General features: G+C 42.3%; 1 protein-coding gene across 1 annotated transcript in view, besides 1 other annotated feature; it reads left to right on the forward strand.

The window, feature by feature from the left end:
- The window catches only part of CACNA2D3 (calcium voltage-gated channel auxiliary subunit alpha2delta 3), a 952,006-nt gene that overhangs the window by 699,566 nt on the left and 226,738 nt on the right, over positions 1-25,702 (forward strand). Inside the window, exons 15-17 of the mRNA NM_018398.3 lie at positions 15,042-15,113; positions 16,451-16,531; positions 24,276-24,350. Of these exons, the coding sequence (NP_060868.2) occupies positions 15,042-15,113; positions 16,451-16,531; positions 24,276-24,350 (228 nt within the window). The remainder of the gene's footprint in view (positions 1-15,041; positions 15,114-16,450; positions 16,532-24,275; positions 24,351-25,702) is intronic.
- Positions 21,240-21,741: an enhancer, noted in NCBI's record as "NANOG hESC enhancer chr3:54877384-54877885 (GRCh37/hg19 assembly coordinates)". NCBI's record gives its function as "activates a minimal SCP1, AML or CMV promoter by ChIP-STARR-seq in naive H9 embryonic stem cells {active_cell/tissue: H9 hESC(naive)}" and the evidence as "EXISTENCE:reporter gene assay evidence [ECO:0000049][PMID:30033119]".

The raw sequence follows: 25,702 nt of genomic DNA on the forward strand, positions 1-25,702 counted from the left end.
ACCCTATTTTTCTCCTTATCATTTACTATTTTATAGTAACATGTAAGGTACTTTTTATATGCATTCCCAAGCCGGGGGTGTTAAGATTGATATACTCACAGTCTGAAAAATGATAGCAGCACAGTGGACTACAGTTTAAATTATTGGATCTATTTTATGAATAAGGCTATGGTGCTAGAAACCAGAGAGCAAGTCTAGTCACTTCAGCTTTTCCTGTAGCCAGCGTGAGAGGCTCTGTGGAAATCTGAGTGATGGCATATTGCCCAACCCTAACAATGGTTATATAACTAAGTATTTTGTTCTCTGCCATAGTTCTGTATGAGTGTGTCTGTGGCAGCCCAGACAGGCTGCTCTGCTGCTGAGGAAGGAGGTGAACTTTGCAAGTGTACCCATGTGAGTCTTGGCTGACCCCTTTTCCATGGCCCTATCCAACTTTGCACTTGAGGCCTGAAATAAATGAATGCAAGACCCTCAGATTCAAAGTGCATGGCTTCCTAATGGCAGGATAGCCAGCAGGACAGCATATAGGCACTCCAGCCGAAGCTACGTGTGGGTTCCTGGGGGTCATGGAGCTCTGTTTGGAAGCAAGATGCTATTTGCATTTCTTTTTTATTTTCTTTCTTTCTTTCTTTCTTTCTTTCTTTCTTTCTTTCTTTCTTTCTTTCTTTCTTTCCTTTCTTTCTTTCTTTCTTTCTTTCTTTCTTTCTTTCTTTCTTTTCTTTCTTTCTTTCTTTCTTTCTTTCTTTTTAAATTTGAGACAGAGATTAGCTCATGTTGCCTGTGCTGGAGTGCAATTGCGCGATCTCGGCTCACTGCAACCTCTGCCTCCTGGGTTCAAGCGATTCTCTTGCCTCAGCCTCCCGAGTAGCTGGGATTACAGGCACCTGCCACCACACCCAGCTAATTTTTGTATTTTTAGTAGAGACAGAGTTTCACCATGTTGGCCAGGCTGGTCTTGAACTCCTAACCTCAGGTGATCCACCTGCCCCAGCCTCCCAAAGTGCTGGGATTCCAGGTATGAGCCACCATGCCCAGCCTGCTATTTGCATTTCTTATTGAAAGGAAATAATCTCTTCATATCAAACAACCTCATAGTGTGTGTCTACTTGTGTGTAAGGGGAAAAATCAGGGTTTACTCCATTTTCAGATTTATTTGAACATTTGACGTGTTCATGTACTATTTTTATGCTTTATATACTATTTTTCCTGATTATTCAGGAAAAAAACAAAGTAAAAACAATATTACATTTTATTATTAACTTTTTTAAAAGTTTTTTTTTAGCTTTTACACTTTTATGCATGAAAATTGATAAAAGCCTTCAATAAAACATACCACTACATACCAGTAACTTTCACACTTTCAGCCTTTGACTCAACAACCCTCTTTTGCAGAATCTAGCCTAAATTGGTCAGTGACTTGCAATTTTATTTATAATGAGGAAAAGAAGAGCCAAAATACCTGAAATGAGAAAGTGGTTGAAAAAGTCACTGAACTTCCAAAAAACAGAATATTAAGAAGCCATAAACAAAACCATAGTTCAAAAGGATATTTAATAATGTAAGAAAATACATCATTTTAAAATTAGAGTGTAACATTTTATGTACATTATGCTCCTGTTGTGTGTGTGTGCGTGTGTGTACAAACAGATGTACAAAACTGTATTGGAAAGAAATGCATAGACATATTTAATAGTGGCTATTTCCTAGTGGTAGGAGAACAAATATGTATTTTGTTTTCTTAATACATTTTTGCATATTTCAAATTCTGTATTATGAGCGTACATTATTTTTATAAGTAAATGATTATATTTGTAGTAATGAACTAATTGTTTTACTCATAAATACACTAAATGAAATAGACTACCAAGAGTTAACCTAACAATAGTCTGCTAAGCCCAACTCTCCCAAGAAATAAACAAATGAAAAAGTGGGAAACCCAAACTCTGTTGTAAAAATACACATGCATAACATGCATTGATTCTTGGTACAGACAGCTATAATCAGAAGGACAAAGGTTTATAAACAGTGGGTTGTCTTACGTGGGACAAGTCTGAAAGTACCTTAGCTTATCAGTAATCCTTATTTTCTACCAAAGGCGATCTACCAATCTTTAATCAAAGACTCAGTCCATGTCAGATGCTTAGAGCGACATTGATCTGAGCATGGGAAATCCACAAAAAATGGTAGGTGTGTGGTTACACCGTGGAGGTCACCCACCCAACATGAGCCTCAGTCAGTAGGTGTTCCCTGTCCTCCTCACACCTCTGGTTGGGGGAAGGACTACCTTGGCTTAAAAATGGAAAAAATGAAGTGGGGTGAGAATGACATCTGCCCAACTTGCTATTTGGAGAGTGTTGTACCAAGTTGTGTAACCTCTGGTATTGCATTCATCATTGCAGAAGGGACGCATTCCACTCCTACAGGTGAGGCAAAGGAGCCCATCGCTCTTAAGACTAACTTGAGTCAGCTGGATATGGAGTGGAGGCCCCACCTGCCAGTTCTCACTGGTAACCTTGGACCCAGGATATGGACCCAGGATACATCGTCCTGAGCCTCGGTTTTTCTTGTTTTAATGGGGTACAGACACGTCCCTTATGGGATTTTCCTGAGAGTACAGGAGCAGCACCTGCTCAGGGCCCATCCACGCCACATGCTCAATGAGGGGTAGTGTTGGCCATGGCAGGGACAGTAATATTATTAATAATGCTAGCAGCATTATACCTTGTTTAATACAGACACATTTAATAAAGTTAAAGCAGAAATGGTTTCTTTTAAAAATAGGCAAAAAGAACTTGGTGTTTATTAAGTTGAAAACCAAAAATTGATTTTACAGTTCCTTACATCTCAGTGCTTTCTAGTTTCAGACTTAATTCTTAGTGTCTTAGAAATCCAGTGTCTTCTTTCAAAAATTCTCATTTATTTAAATATGTGACTGTTTTCTATTTATTTAAATCAAGCACAGTTATAAAATATGACTCTTTTAAGGTGCTAAAACAATACAAACTGTACTCACAACATTGCTGCAATGAAACTGCCTTTTCTTTTGAATGTTAAGGAAACATCTGAGTAAAAACAATGAAATTTTTAAAGTTGTTTTCATCTCAGTTGTTCTTACATCCTCGAAGATATAAAAACACCCTTCTTCCTTCTACACAGAAGGGAAGGTAGAGGATCGAGGAAAGTTATTTCACAAAGCCCTCTGAATTGGGATACCATGATATTAATGTCAGTATCACCAGTATTTAGCCTGGGTGGTCTTGAAGGGGACATCACAGGACACTCAATGTTCTGTTTCCTTGCTTATAGATACAATTCTGTAGGTCATTTTTATTGACACAAAGTTGATCTTGAACTCAATGAGTTGGGTTTTCATTTTGGGGTCTCTTCCGTATTTCTTGGTAGATTTAGAACACCTGTATCCATCACTTGACACACTGGATGTTTCCTGAAATCAACAATGTATGAATCTACACTTTATGGCCAAGGCCTTGGAAGAGGCCAGCTAAAGAACAAGTTAAAGGACAACTGCCAGTATCTTAAAGAGATAAAGAATTAAGCAACCCAGGAAATAAACATATTTTATTTTCTAATTGCATTAGAGAAAGATGACACAAGAACACCATTTTAACACTGAGGTAAATCAGATTCAATACAATTTAGTTACTAATTTGAAAACCAAATCTATGTAAAATATAATAAATGAAGTCTATATCAAATCAATGTGAAATCATCATCAGTGATTTTAATCTGACTTTATTAGTTCTCATAGGAAGGGATTTCCTGTGTGGAAGATATACTAGATTAATATGATGAGTTACTCAAGAGAAAACACACATACCATATGTGCATATGCATAGCTTTTCTTTACTTTTTGGCAAAATTTTTTTGATACAATACAAATCGAATTTTCTGACAAAATTTGTCTACCTGTATTGTTTGTGCACATTAAAACTAAAAAATTAATTATTTTAAAGAAGCAACTGCCTTTTGGTTTTTCTTAGTAAATTGAGCCACATATTTAATGGTCTGGTCATGTTCAGCTGCCTGATGCTTTTTCCAGTCATGTTACTCACTGGTCACATCCCCAATTAATGGATATATATCCATTACAAACCCAAATGTAGCCCACTTCCATGAGAACTGAAGGAATGGCTCTGGATGCGCTGCCAGACATCTCATGCCAAAGGATTCAACTGAAATGACCCTCTGGGGTAAACTGGAGCAGTTGTGCAATCCTGTACATCAGTGCTACCAAGAAGTTCAAAAACAAAATGTTAGATGTTTATCCCTTCAAATTAACTAGAAGGATTTTGGAAAACCCAACCAAGTTTCATGAAGTAGAAAATGTCAAGCAAAGACTAATGTCGTGGTATGGATTTTCTTTTTCCAGAAATGACTCACGAAATTGAACCACTTGCTGAATCATGAGCCCTGTGTGCTTGGATGGGACCCATCCATATTTGCCCAGGCCTGGAACACATTAGATGATTTACAGGCTGGGTACTTCTGAAGCATCTGTCCCTTCTTCCCAGACTCCCTTCCTCTATAACAACTTCCTTCCCAGTGTGCATCCTTCCTAATCTCCTTTAATATTTATGATCATAATTAATTATAATTAACCACTCCCCACCCCCACCAACTGCTTTCATATTATTTAACTGTTAAGACCAAGATATTTGATCATGGGATAAAGGAAACATGTCTTCCTATTTTATTTATGCAATTCAGGAGATAGATGAAGTTCAAATCTTTGGATTTCAAAGAAGCATAAGAATTTCTCTGGCCTAGTCTGGAATGGTCTTTATGAGATTAATTGCACTTGTCAGATGTCCCAGGCACTGTGCTAGGCACTTTATGTCTATAATTCATTTAATGCCTCCAAGAACTCTAAGGACTTTTCCTATTTGAAGGATGATTTGCTTGATTGCAACCTCCTTTGCTACACTTCAAACTCCTGAGGGCCAAACATGGCATTTGTCTTTGCACCCCAAAACAAGAGTCTGAGGGTGGAGTGGTTACTACACAGGCTCTGGCATCAGGTAGACCAAGACTCAGATCTCTACTCTGCTGTTTTCTGTACCTGAAGCAAGGCACTTTGCCTTTTTAACTCCTTCACTTGTGAAATGTGCGTAGGCACTTGCAACGTCTTTGTCAGGGTTCAATTTAAGGCTACGTAGATGCAAAACATTCACAGCAACGTTTGGTAGCAAGTACAAATGATATTTGGCAATGGATATGGAAAGGTAGGCGTGTGGATGGATAGACAGAAGGAAGGATGGAAAGATAGATCAATAAAAATGACTCAGCAAGTTTGAGTAACCTTCTCCAGCATGTTAATGCAGGTCTGTTTGCTTCCGTTTGCTTGTTACTTTTTGTCTTCTCCGTGCTGCTAAGCACATTGCAGTGTTCAACTAAGCTGTGTTTTTTTTAAGTCCTTTTCTTTTATCACTGTGACATCAGCTGGACGTTGTGCACCAGCTTCTCAGCACTTCCTTACAGTCTCAGTCCAACCACATTGATACAGGCAAAATACACAAAGATATTCAGTGAAGGAGCCGTGAGCAAGGAGAGACTGTATAATGTGAAAGAGGGAGCACTAGCCCCAGAGTCTTGCCTGAATTCTGGTACTAATTTTCTCTGCCTTCTTTACTCCCTGGGCCTCATTTGTGAAATAAATTAAACGATAGTGTTGGAATAAATTCATTTAAGGACCATTTGCTGGGCATGTCTTGTGTACCAGGCTCTGTGCTAAATGCCGTGGATGAAAAGAGGAATCTTTCCCAGCTTCTGCCCTTGGAGTTCACAGGCTTTACACAATTCCCAGCATTTCTTCCAGCCACAGTGTTCAGTGACTTTGCTTCATTAACAGTTTGCACAAATTTTGGTCCTAGATGGTATCTTTGGTTGTAGAATAAAGATGATTATCTTTGTAGTGAAGTTTGAGAACATCTGGTTCTCATTTCCACTTAGTTAGGGAAGGTTTTATGGAGGAAGCAGCATTTCAGGGGGTCTTTAAACAAGGAGAAGGTTTTGTCCCAGGGCCCCAAAGCTCTGACAGTTGCCTGTGTTTTCAGGGCATCTACTTGGAGGTGTCTAAACCACGTTTGTGAAAATATGAACATTTGGCCACCATGGGGGGTCAATTATGTGTCATGGCTCATCATAAATATTGACCAAAATCCAATGCCTCATGATAATTTTCATTGTCATTAGTCCTGGGCATTCTTGAAATAAGCAGGTTATACCCAAATAAACCAACAAAGCGGTTTCCAAGACAGCTTTCAGATATGTTAATCAGTGATATTCTCATGACCATGGCTTTATTTATATATGTTCATGGTCAAAGGCAGTATCCTCCCTCTATCTAGAAGTTTACTCATAAAACATATTCCTTTCTTAATGACATATCCTAGAATCACTGGAACAAAAGGACAGAATATCAAAATGTTCCCGAATAATAACAATTTTATTAGAAGAGGACTGTTTTTAGATTCTCATATAGATGTTCCAAGATTGTCCAGCATTATATTCACAAAGTTGTCTTCAGTTTGTTAAGAAGAGAAAGAGAACAAACAAATTCAACAATTTAGCTCATACAAGATGCAGTTAAAGTTCAAAGAGGGAAATCTGTTTACTTTTGTATTTAAACAAGTTAAAATGCAGTGAAATCTCATGGAAGAATATGGAATCTCCAGATCTCAAATGCAAGTAATAATGATTCAGTAAGAAGAGGGAAAATGTTTTGGCTAAAAGCAAAATATCTTTTTTGTAGCATTCTCAAGATTTAGTGATTACACTTTACCAAGACAATCAAGTGAAAAGCAAGAGGACATGTTACTTGAAAGGTTTACTTATTTCTTATTCTTGTTTCTTATTCTAATTGTAAAGTCTCTCAATTAAAACTGCTCACAATCAGCAAACCTTAAGATTATCACTAAAAGTAGTGGAAATCTAAAGAATATAAGAGCAGAGCAAAATCCACAGCCAGAGTCAGATGATGTTAACATTAGCCAAGTAGGCAGAATCAATACTGTGGTCCCTTTCCAGGCATGAGATGCAATAGGATCTCCCTGCCCCACGTTTCAGTGGATTTTCACCTGTGTTCTTCCTCCAAAAGGTGTCTGTATCTCTACTGGGGGTGTGTCTCCAGAGAAAACATCCTCCTGAACATGCCTAGCACAGTCTTACTAGATTCTTTCCCTGACATGTCTGCCCAGTGTTGAGGATAAGAGATGTTGTGATGATGGAAGTGGGTGGGAGATTTGGGGGTGGTGCAAGTAGTTGGCCATTGAAAGGTTAGGTACAGAGGACTTTTTTGGCTGGTGGAGGAGGGAAGGGTGCAGAGACTTTGTTTGGGGAAGGTATCTAAATTGCCACATAGTCTGCTTACATCCCCTTTTCCAGATGTACGTCTCCCTGCTGTTCTCCCTGGTGCCCTCACAAACTAATTGTACAGAGAGCTGTTCTGATGGCTTTCTGTTGTCTTCCTCTCTCCTTGCCATGGAGTGTGCAAACTGCAGGACATGGGTGACATTTCTTCCCAGCCTCACCCCATTAACCCTATTATGTGCTACCCAGAGAATGGCCCTTAAGAATTCCCAAGTCATTGATAAACTTAAGCTCATGGGGAGAGGTGAAAGTGCCAAGGAGTTGGTGTCCCTTTTGTTCAAGCTGCATTTGAGAAAGTGGGTGTGAAAGAACCTCTCCTTTGCTAAGCTCCCCTGTCACATTCTCAGATTCTGCATATCTTTTCTTCTTCTTCTTCATCTTTTTTTTTTTTTTTTTTTTTTTTTTTGAGATGGAGTTTTGCTCTGTCACCCAGGCTGGAGTGCAGTGGCAAGATCTCAGGTCACTGCAACCTCTGCCTCCCAGGTTCAAGCAATTCTCTGCCTCCCGGGTTCAAGCAATTCTCTGCCTCCTGGGTTCAAGCAATTCTCTGCCTCAGCCTCCTGAGTAGCTGGGATTACAGGCACCCATCACCACGCCTGGCTAATTTTTTGTATTTTTAGTAGAGACGGGATTTCACCATCTTGGCCAGGCTGATCTTGAACTCCTGACCTCATGATCCACCTGCCTTGGCCTCCCAAAGTGCTGGGATTACAGGCGTGAGCCACCACGCCCAGCCCAGATTCTGGTTATCTTAAAGAATCAATGGTTCTCTTTTCATAATGTCTCGTCTGATTTATAGATGTGCACAGCTGTGTTTTTCCACCTCTTAGTACTACTCCTTTTCTGTCAAGGCAAATGTTATTATCAGACCTAATTGTTGATAACCGCCGGTCTTTGCTTCAGTTGGGTAGGTAACTAAACGACATCAGCTGGCATTTAAATACTTTTTTTTTTTTTTTTGAGATGGAGTCTTACTCTGCAGTCCAGGCTGTTGCACAATGGCACGATATCGGTTTGCTGCAACCGTCACCTCCTGGGCTCAAGCAATTCTCCTGCCTCAGCCTCCCAAGTAGAGTAGCTGGGATTACAGGAGTGCCCCCACCACGCCCAGCTAATTTTTGTATTTTTAGTGCAGACGGGTTTTCGCCACGTTGGCCAAGCTGGTCTCAAACTCCCAACCTCAGGTGATCCGCCCTCCCAAAGTGCTGGGATTTGGCCACTTGGCCTCCCAAAGTGCTGGGATTACAGGCGTGAGTCACCGCACCTGGCCCCTAAATATATTTTTGTTTGTAAGGCCCATACTCTGGAAATGGCTTTTTGTCGTCCAGGACCTCGTGCCTGCAATTTACCCTAATGGCCACTAGATGGTGGCAGTGTCTTTTCATAGAGTGCAGGTTGAAGTTCCTCGCAGGTGTTGAAAGGAAGCTAGCAGAAACACCGCTGCGTATTCACAAGTTATACACACACATATAAAATATTTATGTATTATAGTATTATACATTTATATTATTTACTAACATAGTCAATATGTTGATCAATGTTAATAATAAAGCAACACAAATGTAAGAGGAGCAAAATATAGAAGAAATATGATATTTGATGAGAGTTAGTGGATTAGCTTTTGTTCTTGACTTGGAGCCAGTCCTGTATCTGAGCTGAGTCCACCATTTGTGCACAACCTTCCCTTTAAGCCCAAGCCTCTAGGGCTGAGCAGATCTGGCAGGCGGCTCCGCTGAAAACCACCTGGCAGTCCTCAAATGGGCTGCCAAGAGTGCTGTCCTTGGCTTGCTCAGATGCCTTCCAGGTCCAGCTTGCCTCCTTTCTCTGCAGCTTGGCATTCACCCCCAGGGGCTTCCAGCTGCAGGAGAAACAGAGGCTTCTGCCACCAGTCCTGGCAAGCTTCCTCTGAATAGAGTTATGAAGAAGGCAACCCAAACAGATGTCCTTCAAAGGTGGAGGCTGCCCAGACAGCAAGCACATAGCCACAGCTGCTCCCCACCATGGGCAACCACTGGGGAAGCAGCCAAACTTCTACTCATTGTGAAGGCTTGACATAAAATTCTAGTGACAATAGTCTTTTATACCATCATAAAGAGTAGTCATTACCATCAGTATTTGGGTACTTTGCAGGTACCTAAATTTCTTCTCTTGTGGGAAAGATATGCAACCATCCATCTTGGGAATGTTGGTACCCTTTTGCCTTTGGCCTTTTTGGCCTCAGAAATTTCTCCTTTGTGTGGATTGTACATGGCACTTGGGACCACCTCAGTGGGTATCTAGAGCTGCCTAGGTCATTTATGGCCCAGATTGGTATGTCTAAGAGTTACAAATCCATTTCATGCTCATTGAAGCTAAAAGAGAAAACTTATTGGCTCAGGCAACCCCATAATGGAAAAGGGGCATTGGTGGAATTGATCTTGGGAATGAAGGCATTCAGGGACAGGTACCCTCCCGCCCTTTCCCTCTTTTTTTTCCTCCCTCCCTCTTTATCTCTCTCTTCTCTGTCACACACACACACACACACACACACACACACACACACACACACACGTCTCTCCTCCTCTCTGTTGAGTTTATTTTATTCAGTCTCATCGCCTCTCTGTGGCAAGGGGACACGGCTGTCAAGCTGACATTCTTATAGCCATTCACAAAGGAGAATAGGTAGTCTTTCCCATTTGCTCCTGGTTAGAAAAAGAAAAACATCTCAGGTAGCCTAGCCTGAACTACATGCCTAGTTAATAAACTTACCAGTGCAGCTCGCGCAGAGTGTGTGTGTGCACACTTCTGTGTGTGAAGTGCTCTGGTTAACACAGCCTGGGTTGGCTGTCCATCCCCACACTCAGGATGGGAGAGCTTGACTGCTAAGAAACCTTGTGGTTGGACGGGGTGAAGAGGACTTTCCTAAAGGAAGTGGGTGATACCTGCAGAAGAAGGAAAAGAAAGGGGCCAGGCAGTTTACAAGATGTCTACCCCTGCATTGTTCCATTTACCAATATCCTTAAGTATAAAGCAATGGAATGAAATCACTCTGCGGCAGACTACTTTCTCCTGCGTTTGTTAGACTGGCTTTCAGGAAGCATTCTGAATCTGTCATATAAACCCTGACAGATATTGATAAACACCAGGCATTTTCACTTTAGTTCATGCTGGACTTGGAAAAGAGAGCCTCTCTGCTCACCGAATGAGAGCCAGCATGCCATTCCCAGCTAGTTCTTCCTCTGCCATGTTAGCTTTTCTTTCTCCCTTAGCAGACTTGAGGCTCCTTGGGGATAAGACCCATGCCTTATTCCTAGTTGTCTTCCCAGCACATGGCATGGAACCTGGAACATAGCTGATGCTCGAGGAGTGTTTATTAAGGAAATCAATGAGTAGGTGACTAGGCCAGCAGCAAAATGGATGGGTCACAAGTCCTGTGTTGTTATACTCTCTGGGGTCATGCCCTAGGTCTAGCCATGTTGCCAACTGGTGCCATCAGTGGGAAACTAATCAAGTATTAAGGAGTAGGCCTGGCATGGCCACGTGGACCTTGCACATGAGTTCAAATGCATATTCATATGAGCCTACATGCATGATTAACTTGGGAAGCTGACAGGAAGCAGTCAATCTGTTGAGCAAGTTTGTGTTTTATAAACCAGATGTTCAGTATTATTATTCATCATTTCCTTTGATACCCAAATGGTCCCCATTATGTAGCATGGGAAATGAAGGATATGGAATAATATATACTTAGTATACAACAGAGCACCACAACCACAGGTTTCAGAGGCCTGCTTAAAGCCTGGGCAAGTGTAATTGCATAGCAGTTCATTTTAAGATTCCCACTTGGACTTAAGTTAATGGGATTTTGCCCAGATGGACCATGGTGACCCCCACCTCCTGCTCCTACCCCTTGGAAAATGAATGTTGACTCTACGTCTGCATTTTTCTTGGAAGCCACATGTATGAATCATAAGCAGCACCCTTGCCTCAGTAGCAGCTACAGGTTGGGGGGCCACAGAAAAGCAGGGACCCCCCTAGCAACGTGTTGGGGGACAGAGGGTTTCTGGCCATAGTTGGCTGCATAACTTCTGCTTGGTGGTCTGGGAAAAAAAAAACAAAACTTGCCATTGACTGCTATTTCCTATGGCAAGAGTATAGAATGCCTTTCAATCATAAAGTGCTTACAGTGCAAATGAACTTGCAAATTGATGTGTTTCTCCATGAAACGTTTAAGATTCACAGAGTCCAGACCTGTGGGGACTGGGAATGATGGAGCTGGTGGGTGCAGAAGAGAGTCTTAATTTTCTGCAAATGGTATTTCTGTGTTCCTGCCAGTCTTTGTTGCCATAATGATGAACTGGTATACATAGGAAAGCCTACGGGTTAGGGTTCTGGCCAAGCCAGTTCAAATTGGGGCCAGAACTGCCCCTAGGAGAGGTCCATGAGATCATTGGCCCACATGTGAACTGTTGCCAGACTGAACTGAATGCATTTCCTTTGTTTACCTGGGGCTGGTTACAAATGAATGGTTTCAGTACAAATGCAATATTATGGGTTTCTTTTTTAAAGTAATGATGCAGTAATTACATTTGGAATTAGCTCCTGAGTGAAGTTGATACTATATTCTGGCTTAATATTTTGAAGTTAGTTTCTCATAATCTTGTCTTTGTGCCAGGACAATTACTAGTAATTTATAACTGATTTTTACTGGTTGCAGGAAAAAGGCTTCATTTCTCATTATTGTCAATGGTATGTTTTTATTTCATCCATGTTACATGTTGGCACTGCTTGAAATTTGATTTGAGTTGCAAAGTGGAAGTTGTGCGGAGTTATGGATCAGCTCAAATCAGTTTTCTTTATAGCATTAACGATTAATCAAGGAGTCAGAATATGGGAAGACTTCTAATTCTAAGAGAACTATTTACCATGGGCTGGTTCTGCCTTTGAAAATGGCCTTGCAGGTTTCCAGTGGTGGCCACAGTATGCTTTGAGTATTTTAAGCAAGATGTTAGAACCATGTTTCCAAAAACTATTACAGACTGTATATACTGGTTGACTTGGTTCATGGCAACACTAACTGTCAGCATCATCTCATAGTTAATATTTTTTGTTTATTATATTGATGAATTAAAGTTGTTTACATATTCTTTCACCCAAATTAGGGTGCCCAAAATAATCACTTATATGATTACCATGTATATTATTAGTCATGGTTCTCTAGAGATAGCCTATAGAGCTAGAGATAGGCTATACAGATAGGGTGGGGAGGAATTTAGTTTAAGGAATTGGGTTACACAATTGTGGGGCTGGCAAGTCTGAAATCTGCAAGGCAGGCAGTCTGACATGCTGGAAATTGCAGCAAGAGTTGATGTTGCAGTCTTGAGTTTGAAGACAGTCTACAGGCAGAATTCCTTCTTTTGAGGGGGGCCTTGTCTTTTCTCTTAAGGCCTTCAATGGATTGGATGAGACCCACCCACATTATGGAGAATAATCTGCTTTACTACTGATTAAAATGTTAGTCACATCTAAAAAACACCTTCCCAGCAACATCTAGACTGGCAGTTGCTCAAACAACTGAGCATGATGGCCTAGCCAAGTTGACACATAAAATTAACCATGTCACCATGAGTTCCCAGTCCTAGACAGACCAGGAGATTCTTGCTTCATTTTACTTGTCACGGAGGGATATAGGACTATCTTGATATCCATGTAAAACTTATAAAAGCATGGCCCCCTCCACCCCTGTTGGGAGTTTTTTTCCAACACCTGCCAGCTTCTCTTTAGCTGTCATGATTATTGGTGGAAATGAAATGGAAAGGATTGCCCTATACGAATGCTTCTTGCATTTTAATATACATACGAATCATTAAAATAATTATTCACATTCAGAGTGTTTGGAATGGGGCCTGAGACTAACAAGCACTTAGGTGCTACAGGTGCTGCTGTTCTGGGTACTACATTGTAAGTAGTGACACCCCACAGCTCTAATAATCTATTAGAAGAACAAGGCAAAAGAAAGACTAAGTTTAATGACCTTTACTCAAGAGACCAGCCAGTCAATGGGGGCTTCAAACGCTTAGATTTTAGGATCTTCTCTTTATAATGCCTCTTTCCAAGTAGATTGAGGGAGCAATGCCTGATTATTCTGTGGAACTAAAGCTATGGAAGAGAAGTGTCCAAATATCAGAAAACACGCTAGGTTGAAGATAGTGGATTCTAGTTCACGGATTGCTTCACTTGGGGCTTGAACAGGCTACGAAGCCAGAAGGACTTGCCTGGTCAATTTTGGTGCCTGTCAGCAGTGCCTCCAGCCTTAATCTCATTTTGGACTCTGCTACTTACTAGCTGTGTGACCTCGAAGGCAGAGAAAAGAAGCTGGCATCCTTTGAGCACTTCCATATGCCAGGTACCATGCTGGGCAGTTTTCTGTTTTGTCTTCATGGCAACAGTGCTGGGGAATAGTGGGCATTATTTCATATGAGCATGTGGAGACTTCACTAGTGCAGTTAGGAAAGATTCAGAGCTGAGATTTAGAACCAGATTTGTCTTGGGCCAAAGCCTACCATGTTCCAAGACTCTGTTTCCCTATTTGTTTGGGACAGAGTAGGGGTTCCTGCCTGTCTCCCAACACTGTGTAAAAAGCAGGTGCAATGGTGTGTCTCCATGTGTCTGTAACCCAATTGAGAGGTTTACAGACGTGAATCACATGCTGTATTTCAAGGGCCATTCTTTTTTTTTTTCTTTTTTTTTTTTTTTGTTTTTGTTTTGGGAGAGAGTCTCGCTCTGTCACCCAGCCTGGAGTGCAGTGGCACTATCTCGGCCCACTGCAAGCTCCGTTTCCCGGGTTCACACCATTCTCCTGCCTCAGCCTCCCGAGTAGCTGGGACTACAGGCACCTGCCACCACACCTGGCTAATTTTTTGTATTTTTAGTAGAGACGGGGTTTCACCATGTTAGCCAGGATGGTCTCAGTCTCCTGACCTCATGATCTGCCTGCCTTGGCCTCCCAAAGTGCTGGGATTACAGATGTGAGCCACCACGCCTGTCCTCAAGGGCCATTCTTATAAGAGAAATGATTACCTTCTTCATCATGATTTTAGAAGTCAGATAATAAAGTTATTATTTAATTTTGTTTTTGTTTTATTTGTTTTCCATCTGGGACTGGCATTCAGAGACCCAGAGAGGTAAAACAGCCTTGACTGGCTACCTTGGGGAAAATAAGTGCATCCAGATTCTGTTGTTTTTAGCAGGGGCAACTCACCAGACCCTTTATGTGCATGCTTTCTGATCCTCAATATTTAGATTACGGAGAAGCACTCTTAAGAAACATAAGTGTCTGGGAGGCAAAATAGTAAAATAAACCTGTGCTAATAAAATAAAATGAATCAGGAAGATCCAAACAAGGTTCTCTTTGAACCAAAGTGGCTGAAAGCAGAGAACAGATCTGCTAGAGTGACTAATGACAAATGATTTGTTTCCCCAGCTGGGGGCTGGGACTGTCCTCTGCAAATCCAGGACACACATTGTGCTCCGCGCTCCACTAAAGGCTTGAGTGGGCACTGTTCCATCTCAACAGCCCCTGGTTTGGAAAGGACATGATTGTCAAGGGGGTGGCCTCCAGAACTGTGGTTTCCAGACCGTTCCCCGGTAACTGGCTTTTCTCTTCCATCCAGCTGACTGATGATCAGGGCCCCGTCCTGATGACCACTGTAGCCATGCCTGTGTTTAGTAAGCAGAACGAAACCGTGAGTACAGTCGCTGAGCTTCCTGCTTGATGCTAGGAGGGTGGTTTTCTCAGACCCCCTCTGACTCCAGCTCTGGTGACTTTTGATTTTTAAGCATAGGATGTATGTCATTTTTCCTTATTGTTTGATCTTGCTGTTAGAATCACCAAATCAAAAACAGATGAGAGGAACCCAGGCTGGCATCATTTTAGAGTTGGCAACACCTTTCCAAAGTTTAAGTATTAGAGGACCAGAGGAGGAAAAGCCCCAGAGACCATCCATGATTATGGTGCACTGACCACTCTCATTTATAGTTACCAGCCTTTTATTAGTTTCCTAGGGCTGTTAGGAATGAAGTGCCACAAACTGTGTGGCTTAAAAAAATAGAAATTTCTTCTCTCACAGTTCTAGAGCCTGGAAGTCTGAAATCAAGATGTCAGCAGGGCCATGCTCCCTCTGAAGGTTCTAGGGAAGAATTTCTCCTTGCCTCTTTCAGCTTCTCGGGGCCCCCAGCATTCCTTGGCTTGTGGCAGTGTCACTCCAATCTCTGCCTCTGTTTCCATGTGACCTGTTCCTCTTATATGTCTCTCTGTGTCCTTCCCTGTTGTAAGGAAATCAGTCATGGGATTTAGAGCCCACGCTAAATCCACGATGATTTCATCTCAAGATCCTTAACAATTACGTATGCAAAGATGCTATTTCCAAATAGCATTATATTCTGAGGTTCTGGGTGGACATGAACTTGGGGGGACACTGTTCAACTCACCATAAAGCCTTAAAAAAATGGCCTTTCTGACACTGAAAAGTTTTAGCAAATCACAATGGCTACATGCCTTGGAAAATGGGGCTCCAGAGGCCTATTCCTTCACCTTGGTCCTCAGTTGGTAAAAGTGTTAGGGTTATTATATATTTCTCTTGCTATTTAGACTCTCTCTCCTGGGCACCAGATGGCAGTGTAAATTGAGAAAGCAGTTAACATGCTGTCTTTCCTGTAAAAAGCTTTCATAAGAGAAACTGGTGAACGTTTAGAGCCCTTAGCTGCTGAAACTCTTGTGTTTCTTCAAATCAGTGTTTAATTTTCAAGAGAGGAGAGGGAAGCTATTGTAGTATCTTGGTAGGATTATGCGTTGGGGACTGTAGTAGTTAATGGTTGGCCTGAGAAGCTCTCATTTTACCCAGTAACATTTTGGGTGGAGGGTGGGGGATAGAAGAGACCATTCTTGGAGATATGGGTTAATCCTCAATCTGTATCAGTTTGGGGAAGGCACCAGGCAGACGGTATGTGACTTCTCGTGAGATTCTATTTCTTTTGCCAAGTTAACTTACTGTTATTATAATTCAATGTTTATTTTCGACAGAGATCGAAGGGCATTCTTCTGGGAGTGGTTGGCACAGATGTCCCAGTGAAAGAACTTCTGAAGACCATCCCCAAATACAAGGTAATGAATGACCTAATCCCTGAAATCAAAGCAACAGAGATGCCCAGAGCCTTGTTTTCACAAAGTTCAGGCTTCAAACTCTACTTTGGAGCGATGTTTTTGCTCACCACTATTACAGCCTGTTAGCTTGTCTTTATACCATCTGCACAGTTATTTAAAAGGTTTTTTTTTTATTATTTACAATGACTTGCTGTTTTTCTTATTTACCTCCTCTAACCTCAGTTTAAAGAATCAATGTTATATCTTAAGTTTTGACATGATCATTGAATTTTTCTGATACACACAGGATATCAACATGACTGGTTTGCCTTTTAAAAAGATAGTCCAGGCCGGGCGTGGAGACTCACGCCTGTAATCCCAGCACTTTGGGAGGCCGATGCGGGTGGATCACGAGGTCAGGAGATGGAGACCATCCTGGCTAACACGGTGAAACCCCGTCTCTACTAAAAATACAAAACAATTAGCCGGTCGTGATGGCAGGCGCCTGTAGTCCCAGCTGCTCGGGAGGCTGAGGCAGGAGAATGGCGTGAACCTAGGAGGCGGAGCTTGCAGTGAGCTGAAATCGCACCACTGCACTGCAGCCTGGGCGACAGAGCGAGACTCCATATCAAAAAATAAAAAAAAAATAGTCCGGAGAGTTCTTAGACCCCATCCAGAAAACTCTCCTATTTCCTGGTGGGGACTCTTTGGAAAAACAAATCAAAAAGTGGGAGGGGGATGCCCTTGAGGCACAACCCAGGCACACAGCACTGCCCAAGAGTGCTCTAAATGTAGGCATGAGCATGTGCATGCCAGAGGCATCAGAGAGCAGCCCCCACCAGATCTGGTTGATTCACTGGACGAAGGGCTCCACTGGCTGCACAGGGGCGAACACCACATCCACCCCCTTCTCCCCCAGCACCAAGCTGACTGGCTAGCTGGTCTCCATTTCTGGCCCACTCAGATTAACGAGGGTTCTCTTTGTCTCCATCTAAAGGGAGCCCAGGAATCAGGGATTATTGGCTGCCAGGGGCTTCTTTCTTGGCACCACCCTCCCTGATGTGCTGGGGCCTGATTCACCACAGCTGTGAGGGGGACCTGGGCTTTCCTGGGCCTCAGGTGGAGGCAGGCAGTGGTTAGAGCTTGACTCTGCAGGTTCCTGGCTCCATCGTTGATGAGGTGGGTGTGGACAAGTCCCTCCAATCCCTCGTTCCCCAGCTTCATCCACCAGGGCTTTTATAATTGGAGTTAAGTTCCCAGAGGCATGAAAGGACATTTCATTGATCCAAACCCACATAATAAATATTGGAAACTGTAGTTCCTGAGAAACTAAAAGTCAAAGATGGAGATGAGGGAAGACTTTGAGGCCCCTAAAGATAGTGGACTTGACTTTTGATGAAATTGCCAGACCTAGGTGTCCAGAACTGCTGGCTCAGTTTCAGAAAAGGCATCCCACCTGTAGAGAACTTTTCCAAACAATTCTTGAGCCTCTTATTTCACATGAGGAGATTTAGAAACCTAAGCACCGAGCCACTACTTGATACGTGTCCAATAAATCAAGAAAGAAGGAACATGACAAGGAACCAGTAACAATTATCCTTTGTGTCCATTTCTCCAAGCTTCCTCTACCAGGCAATGTGCAGAGCTCTTTATGGCATTATCTCGCTTACTAAGTAAACATTACGGTCACCCCCATTTTATAGTTAAAGAAACTGAGGCATGGAAAGCTTAAATATCTTGCCAAATCTCACATCTTGCAAGCAGGAGAACCATGTCTTTTTTTTTTTTTTTTTTTTTTTTTGAGATGGACTCTCACTCTGTGGCCCAGGCTGGAGTGCAGTGGCACCGTCTCAGCTCACTGCAACCTCCACCTCCTGGGTTCAAGCGGTTCTCCTGCCTCAGCTTCCTAAGTAGCTGGGATTACAGGTGCACGCCACCATGCCTGGCTAATTTTTGTCCTTTTAGTAGAGATGGGGTTTCACCATGTTGGTCAGGCTGGTCTTGAACTCCTGACTTGGTGATCCACCCGCCTCAGCCTCCCAAAGTGCTGGGATTACAGGCGTGAGCCACTGCACCCTGCCAAGAGCCATGATTTTTTTTTTTTTTTTTTTTGAGACGGAGTCTCGCTCTGTCACCCAGGGCTGGAGTGCAGTGGCATGATCTCAGCTCACCGCAAGCTCCACCTCCTGGGTTCACGCCATTCTCCTGCCTCAGCCCCCCGAGTAGCTGGGACTACAGGTGCCCGCCACCACACCTGGCTGATTTTTTATATTTTTAGTAGAGATGGGGTTTCACCATGTTAGCCAGGATGGTCTCGACCTCCTGACCTCATGATCCACCCGCCTCAGCCTCCCAAAGTGCTGGGATTACAGGCATGAGCCACCGTGCCGGGCCCCAAGAGCCATGATTTTAACCTCTGTAACCACAATGCTACCAAGAACAATAAGAGCAATGACAATCATAATAGTAATAGTTAAAATGATAATAATAACTAAAATACACTAAAACATTTATTGAACTTCTTACTATGTGGTTGGTGTCATCCAAAGTACTTTACATGCATTATTCCTGTTGAATTCTTATTACATTCCCATGAAGTGGGGACCCTTCGGCCTCATTTTTACTTAAGGATGCTTGAAATAACTTTCTCAACATCATTCTGCTAGTAACAGATGAAGGAAACGAAGCATAACAAGGGAATAGAGGAAGAAGATCAACTATAGAAAATTAACCAGCAGTGCTTGAAATGCAGGCATGTGTGTTTTGTGCTTTTCCAAGGGTCAAGCTGGGAACCATTGACGTAGATATGGCATAAGTTAACCTAAGGCATCCTTCCCTCTGGTTCCCATACAGAGCTTTGTGAAAGGGGTACGTGTCAGCCAGGGACAGCCATGGCCAAATGGGCCCCTCTCATCCAGGAGAGGAGAGCTCCAGGGAACAGAGTTCAGGTCACACCTTGCCCTCCTGATTAACACCTTGTAAAGATGAGTCAGCTCTTGGCTCTTGGGGTTTTCCCAGAAGATAGAATTCTTTCTTTCTCCCTTAGCTTCATAGATTTTCCCACAAGCAATCAGACTTCCTGTAATTTTTATTAAGAATTCCAGACACCCCAGCAATAATTTCCAGACACCACGACCTCTGTTAACATAACGAGCCATTTTATAATTGGGTTCACTTCATTAGCCCAGACTCTCCAGTTGGAAGGGAAGTGCCTCCTTTCCCCAGGCTGTTGGACCACGTGGCTTCTGGCCTCCAGGAGAATATGCCTCTGGTCCAGGGCCCCTTTGGCAAGCCCAAGTGCTGGAAGGCCTTGTGTCCGATCTGTTCTCCATTACTCCATGGCACTGTACATTAGAATGGACAGGAAGACTGGTTCTATTTTGGATAAAACCAAAATTAGCGATTTCATCAGTGTATTGATTTGTGGCCAAAAACTAATGTTGGACTTCGTCATATAAGCTTTTAATTATTTGAGAGACTCATCCACAGAATGTGTTGTATTTTGAGATGTGGTCAGAGCTGCCCTTCCTTTGTCTACATTAGGATGTAGCTATATGCCATCAACCAACACACAAAACATTCTGATGTTATTTTCTCAGAATGCTTTCCTGGGGAGGATTTTAACCAGTTTCTGAATATCAGGAAGACTTTCTCAGGTACAGGCTTAAGAAGGACTGGCTGTGCATCTCCTGGAGCAAATTGGCTTCTCCTTTTCAGCTTGTTTTTAATATTTACTTTAGTTGGAATTTTCAAGATGAGCTAGGTAACATTTGAGTTAAGTGGCAAATGTCTAAAATACACAAACTGTAACTGAATGCCTGCCACATGCCTGACCTTGTCCTAGGGACTGTAGAAGTCAAAGGTAAGTGAGGTGGCCCCTTTCCCACAAAGAGCTCATTCTGATGGAGGAAGTACTGCCTCCAGTTATTTCTTTTTTCTTCTCTTTTCTTTTCTTTTCTCTTTTTCTTTTTTTTCTTTTCTTTTTTTTTTTGAGACAGGGTCTGGCTCTGTCACCCAGGCTGGAGTACCGTGGCACGATCTTGGCTCACTGCAACCTCTGCCTTCCAGGTTCAAGCAATTCTCCTGCCTCAGCCTCCAGAGTATCTGGGATTACAGGCACCCACCATCGTGCCTGGCTGGTTTTTGTATTTTTAGTAGAGATGGGGTTTCACCATGTTCACCAGGCTGGTCTTGAACTCCTAACCTGAAGTGATCTGCCTGCCTCAGCCTCCCAAAGTGCTGAGATTACAGGCCTGAGCCACTGCGCCCGACCACCTCCAGTTCTTTCTAGGACAAATCAGAGGAAGGAAAGAGAACTACCTAGGGTTGAGAGGCGGAAAAGTGAGTGTAGCTTTTTTTTTTTTTTTTTTCTTTGAGCCTTACTCTGTTGCCCAGGCTAGAGTGCAGTGGTGCAACTTCCACCTCCCGGGTTCAAGCGATTCTCCTGCCTCAGCCTCCCGAGTAGCTGGGATTACAGGTGCCCGCCACCATGCCTGGCTAATTTTTGTATTTTTAGTAGAGACAGGGTTTCACCATGTTGGTCAGGCTGGTCTCGAACTCCTGACCTCAGGTGATCCACCTGCCTAGCCTCTCAAACTGTTAGGATTACAGGCATGAGCTACTGTGCCCAGCCAAGTATAGCATTTTTAGATGCTAGAGTAAACATAGTGATGATGGTATGGAAAGGACAAAGCAAAGTGCAGGTCAGGAGAGCCTTTTTACAAGAGATGAGCTGAGGCTGAGCTTATAGCATGGGTGAGGATTAGCCACAGGGAGAGAGAAGGAGGGGTGCCTTGGGTAGCAGGCACTGTGACAATAAAGGTCTGGCTGGGAGAGAAAATTGCAGGGGGATTGTTACTGCCGTGTGCCTTGAGTGGCAGTGAGTGGAGGGAGGCAGGGTTGGGTACTCAGGCAGGGGCCAGACCCCAGGGAGACCTGATGAACAGGCCTATGGCTCTGTCTTACATATGAAAGGGGTTGTTAGTGGCTGTCACAAAGGAAAGCAACGTGGTCAGAATTATCTTTGACTTGGATCAACCTGGAGGATGGTTTTGTTGGGGTCAATCTCTGAGGCAGGAAGAGCAGTGAGGACCATTGTGGAAATCTATTGAATTAATATAGTAGTGGTACAGTTGGGTAGCAGGATGGAATTGGAGCAAACCTGGAGAAAAACATTAGTAGGATTTCATACTACTGATGCTGCAGTTTCTAACTGGGGAGTCTGTGTGGTTGGTGGTGCCGCCTACTGAGAGAGGAGGAAGAAGAACAGCTTTAGAAGAACTCCACTGTGACTGGGTGAGTCTGAGGTGCCAGAGCAATGGCCAAGAAGAGATGACCACTACCCTGTTGGATACTTGGTTTGCCACTGAAGGGGGAGACTGAGGCCAGCACATGGATCTGGGGAGCAGCAGCACAGAGGTGGTCACTGCAGCTTATTGAGGGAGAGGAGAGCTAAGGCAGACAGTAGGTACTGGGGACAGAATCTTAGGGAAAATGAGTACTTGAGGAATGGGCAAAGGACAAAGATCCTGTGAAAAGGAGAAAGCCCAGGAGTATGGGACCTGGAAACTGAGGGAATAGTGTCGAGGAAGAGGAAGCAATGGGCTAAGAAAAGTAGGAAGATTTGAGGGAGAAAATCCTGTAAGGTTTGGCAATGAAGAGGCCCCTGGCAACCGTAGAGAAAGGGATTTCCATGGCATATTTGGTGGTGGAGGGAGGGCAAAGGCAGAATGCAGTGGGTTGAGGCATAAAGGGGCAATAAGGAAACAGAGATGGCACTTGGTTAATGAATACAGGACATTGGGATGGGAAGATGAGCTCAGCGTCTGCATTCTGGGGGAGGAAGCAGAGAGTTTAGCTAAGCTGTGTAGAATCTGCACTAAATGCAGTTTCTTCTATTGTTTCCCTACTTCCACCTTTTTCTCTTTCTTCTTTCCCTTCTCATCTCTCTATTCCAACCACCCCGCCATATATTGTTAACCGCACGATAGGACCTTTGCCCTCATGAAACTTACATTCTGGTAGGGGAGGCAGGCATGAAATAATCAAAAGTCCTGATTACTTATACTCAACCCCACAGATAATTGATTATTATAATTTTGATAAGTACTATAAGAGTACAGGCATTAAGAGGAGTCCTGCCTTCTTTTGAGGATTGCTTCTCACAAGCAAAAGAAGAAGAACCAAAGTAATGTACATTAGAAGGTGCTGAATACATGAGCTGACTATAAAATATTATTTGTTTTGTTTAATTTTGAGTTTGAATTCCCAAATACAATTTTTGCCTTTAATGGAAAAAGCCAAACTCTCAAGATTTTTTTTTGACCCCTCCAGTCCATCTGAAACTAAAACATAATAATGGTAATTAATGCAGCGTTGACTGTGTCTGACATTTTTCCAAGAGACAAGATGAAAGAGACGATATACATCTCAAAGGATAGGAAATCTCTGGTTTATCTTTCACAGCATAATGAAATATACTTTTATCATTAGAGTCAAGTAGAATCTTATTAAGACTTGCTGTGCAAGGTAACTCCAGGGAAGACGTCTGTTGCCCTTGACTACCATGTGCATATTTGCTTTATGTAGTGCAACGGAAACTTTTAATTGCCAGTGTTAAATTCTCTGAAGTTAATTTCACATCACCTTGACGTTAAGCTAACAGGCAGACAGGGTCATTCCTGGTTTGTAAACTCTGTTGTCTGGATCATTTAATAGTATCATATTCAAGAATGTGAGTGGCAGAGAATTTAAAGAAAATTAACAGTGGGGCTCAGAACTGTGAAAAAACTCCTCAGGAAAAAAAAATAGAGGATTTCTTTTTTCTTCTCCCCTTTCACTGCTCTGGCAAAACTGGGTTACATTTTCTTTCTTCAGAGAGACAGATCAGTATGGGTTTTATGCCAGAGGCCGTTTTAATACATGAATGATTTGTAGGTAAATTTATTGTAGCCAATGGGTGCAGTCAACTGTGTAATAGAAATATTGTCAAAAAGCCGGGATTATTATTTAAATAAGTGCAGTGTTAAATTTGATTACATACTTTTTAAAGCTAATAAAACATTTCATTGCTCACAAACTATTTCCCATAGTCCCATTTAGTCAGAAAACATAAATCAAGTGAGGCTCCGCATAGAAAATTACCCAGGCTTTGTGTTGATGGAAGCATGCATGGAAAAGCTAGGCAGCCACACAATTTGAAGACGAAAGGATATGAAAAGGGTTGCCAGGCTCCTGTGTAGGCTGGGACAGGGGGACACTTTATATTTGAAGAATTATGGAAAATGACGGCCTAGGGGAGCGCCAATTTGAGATGGCCCCTGTGGGCGTGGAATTATACGAAGTCTAGAAGTGAGGCAGCGTGGGGACCCCTCTTTCCTTATTACAGGCAGAGAGAAGGCACCTCCATTGATAAAGTTCTGTGCACTTGGACATAGGGTCTTTACAGAAACATTAGCCACTTTCTTGTTAAAAAAAAAAGGTAATTGTTTTGTTTTAAATAAATCAAAATAAAGCCCTTGGATGCCAATGTGGGGATGTGACATTTTAAATTGTGCTATTTGTTGAGCTTATCCTCTGACAGGTCTTCATTTCCACCAAATGTCAAGGATCAGTGCCTTGCATTCATTTTAATGAAATATTGTGCTGATAAGGGTTATGAATGACAAGTTAAAGCTGTAAATTACTAAATGCCGGGCTGCTTTATGCTTTGTGAATTCACCAGGGAGCAAGCTAATGAAGGTTTCTTTCTTGCTTCCTCTTACAGTTAGGGATTCACGGTTATGCCTTTGCAATCACAAATAATGGATATATCCTGACGCATCCGGAACTCAGGCTGCTGGTAAGAGAAATTATGTACTTCTGCATTTCTGCTTTTATGATTTTAAAAGATTTCCTTCAATTCAACAGTGATGACACTTTGCTGCAGTTTTCACTTTTAAAAAACTATTGAATTCATAGCATTGTAAAGATTGTTATAGAGTTTATAAACTGGTATTTGGACACATAATACATAAATAATGTTGGATAAATATATTTACCATTATGATTTTGTATATAAAGCCATATATGTGTATATGCATTTATTTATTTATCTCACATCTGCCAACATATGGAAAATTTTTTTAACTCTAGACAGCATGAAACCTATCATAACGGGTCCCTTGATGTAATACATGGACACTCATACTCCAGCTCTAGACCCACTTACTGCAAGTCTAATTTGACACGATAAATTAGACCCAAGATCCCTGGAAATTTATTACAATGGGATTTGCCCCCAAATTACATTACTTAAGCCCAGTGTCTTGTGGATAGAAGCTATTCAACAGCTTTTTTGTTAAATCAGGGCAGCTGAGATTTTTCTCTGTTTCCTGCCTATGTCATATCCAGTAGCATTGCTTGGTGAACTGATATGTAAACCACTTTCTTTCTCTCAGTATCATTTTTACTGTCTCTGAAGTGAGTAGGGTTAGGCCAAATCCAAAACAGCCCATGGTAGCATCAACCCACATCCCTGGGCAAGGCTGCCCTTGGGGCATTGGCCACAAGTGTGCCACATGTTTGCCACCCCTGAACTAGTTGCAGTGTGTTGAAAAAAGGACATCCCTTTGGGTTTGTGTGTACTTAGCTAATTTTTAAAGAAGATATAGAATTATAAAGAGTAATGCAGTGAACACTGTTTTTTAAAGTTAAGAAAGTGTAGATCGTTTTCTTTAGCAATCAACAAACACACACGTACCTATATGCACATACACAAATGCATACATACCCATCCACCCCACCCATCTTTTCCCATTCATCAGAATGAGAAAGTAGCGGCAGTGCCTGCTATTCAAATGTTTGTTGGCAAAGCATTGTGGGGACCAGTTCACTTCTCACTTGCATCATTGTTTAGAAACAGTTCATGTGAGAGCTCCATCATCATGCAACTTTGCTCTAATCGCCCTGGTATTAATGGAGTCATGACCACATCATGTGGATGCCATATGCATGCTTTAAGATGGGCCTTATGGTAATATTCAATTTCAACAATCTTTTTATCAGAAAAGGACTGAATTAACTAGTTGGCTAATTCCAAATGTAACTCAGAATTATTGAAAAGTCTGATTGAAAAAGCGGCTGTCTTTTTAAAGACATTTAAGTCCAAAGACATATTGAAGTTTAAAACTCTTAGCACATTACCCATCTCCA

This window comes from Homo sapiens, chromosome 3 (assembly GCF_000001405.40).
Source record: "Homo sapiens chromosome 3, GRCh38.p14 Primary Assembly".
NCBI lineage: Eukaryota > Metazoa > Chordata > Mammalia > Primates > Hominidae > Homo > Homo sapiens.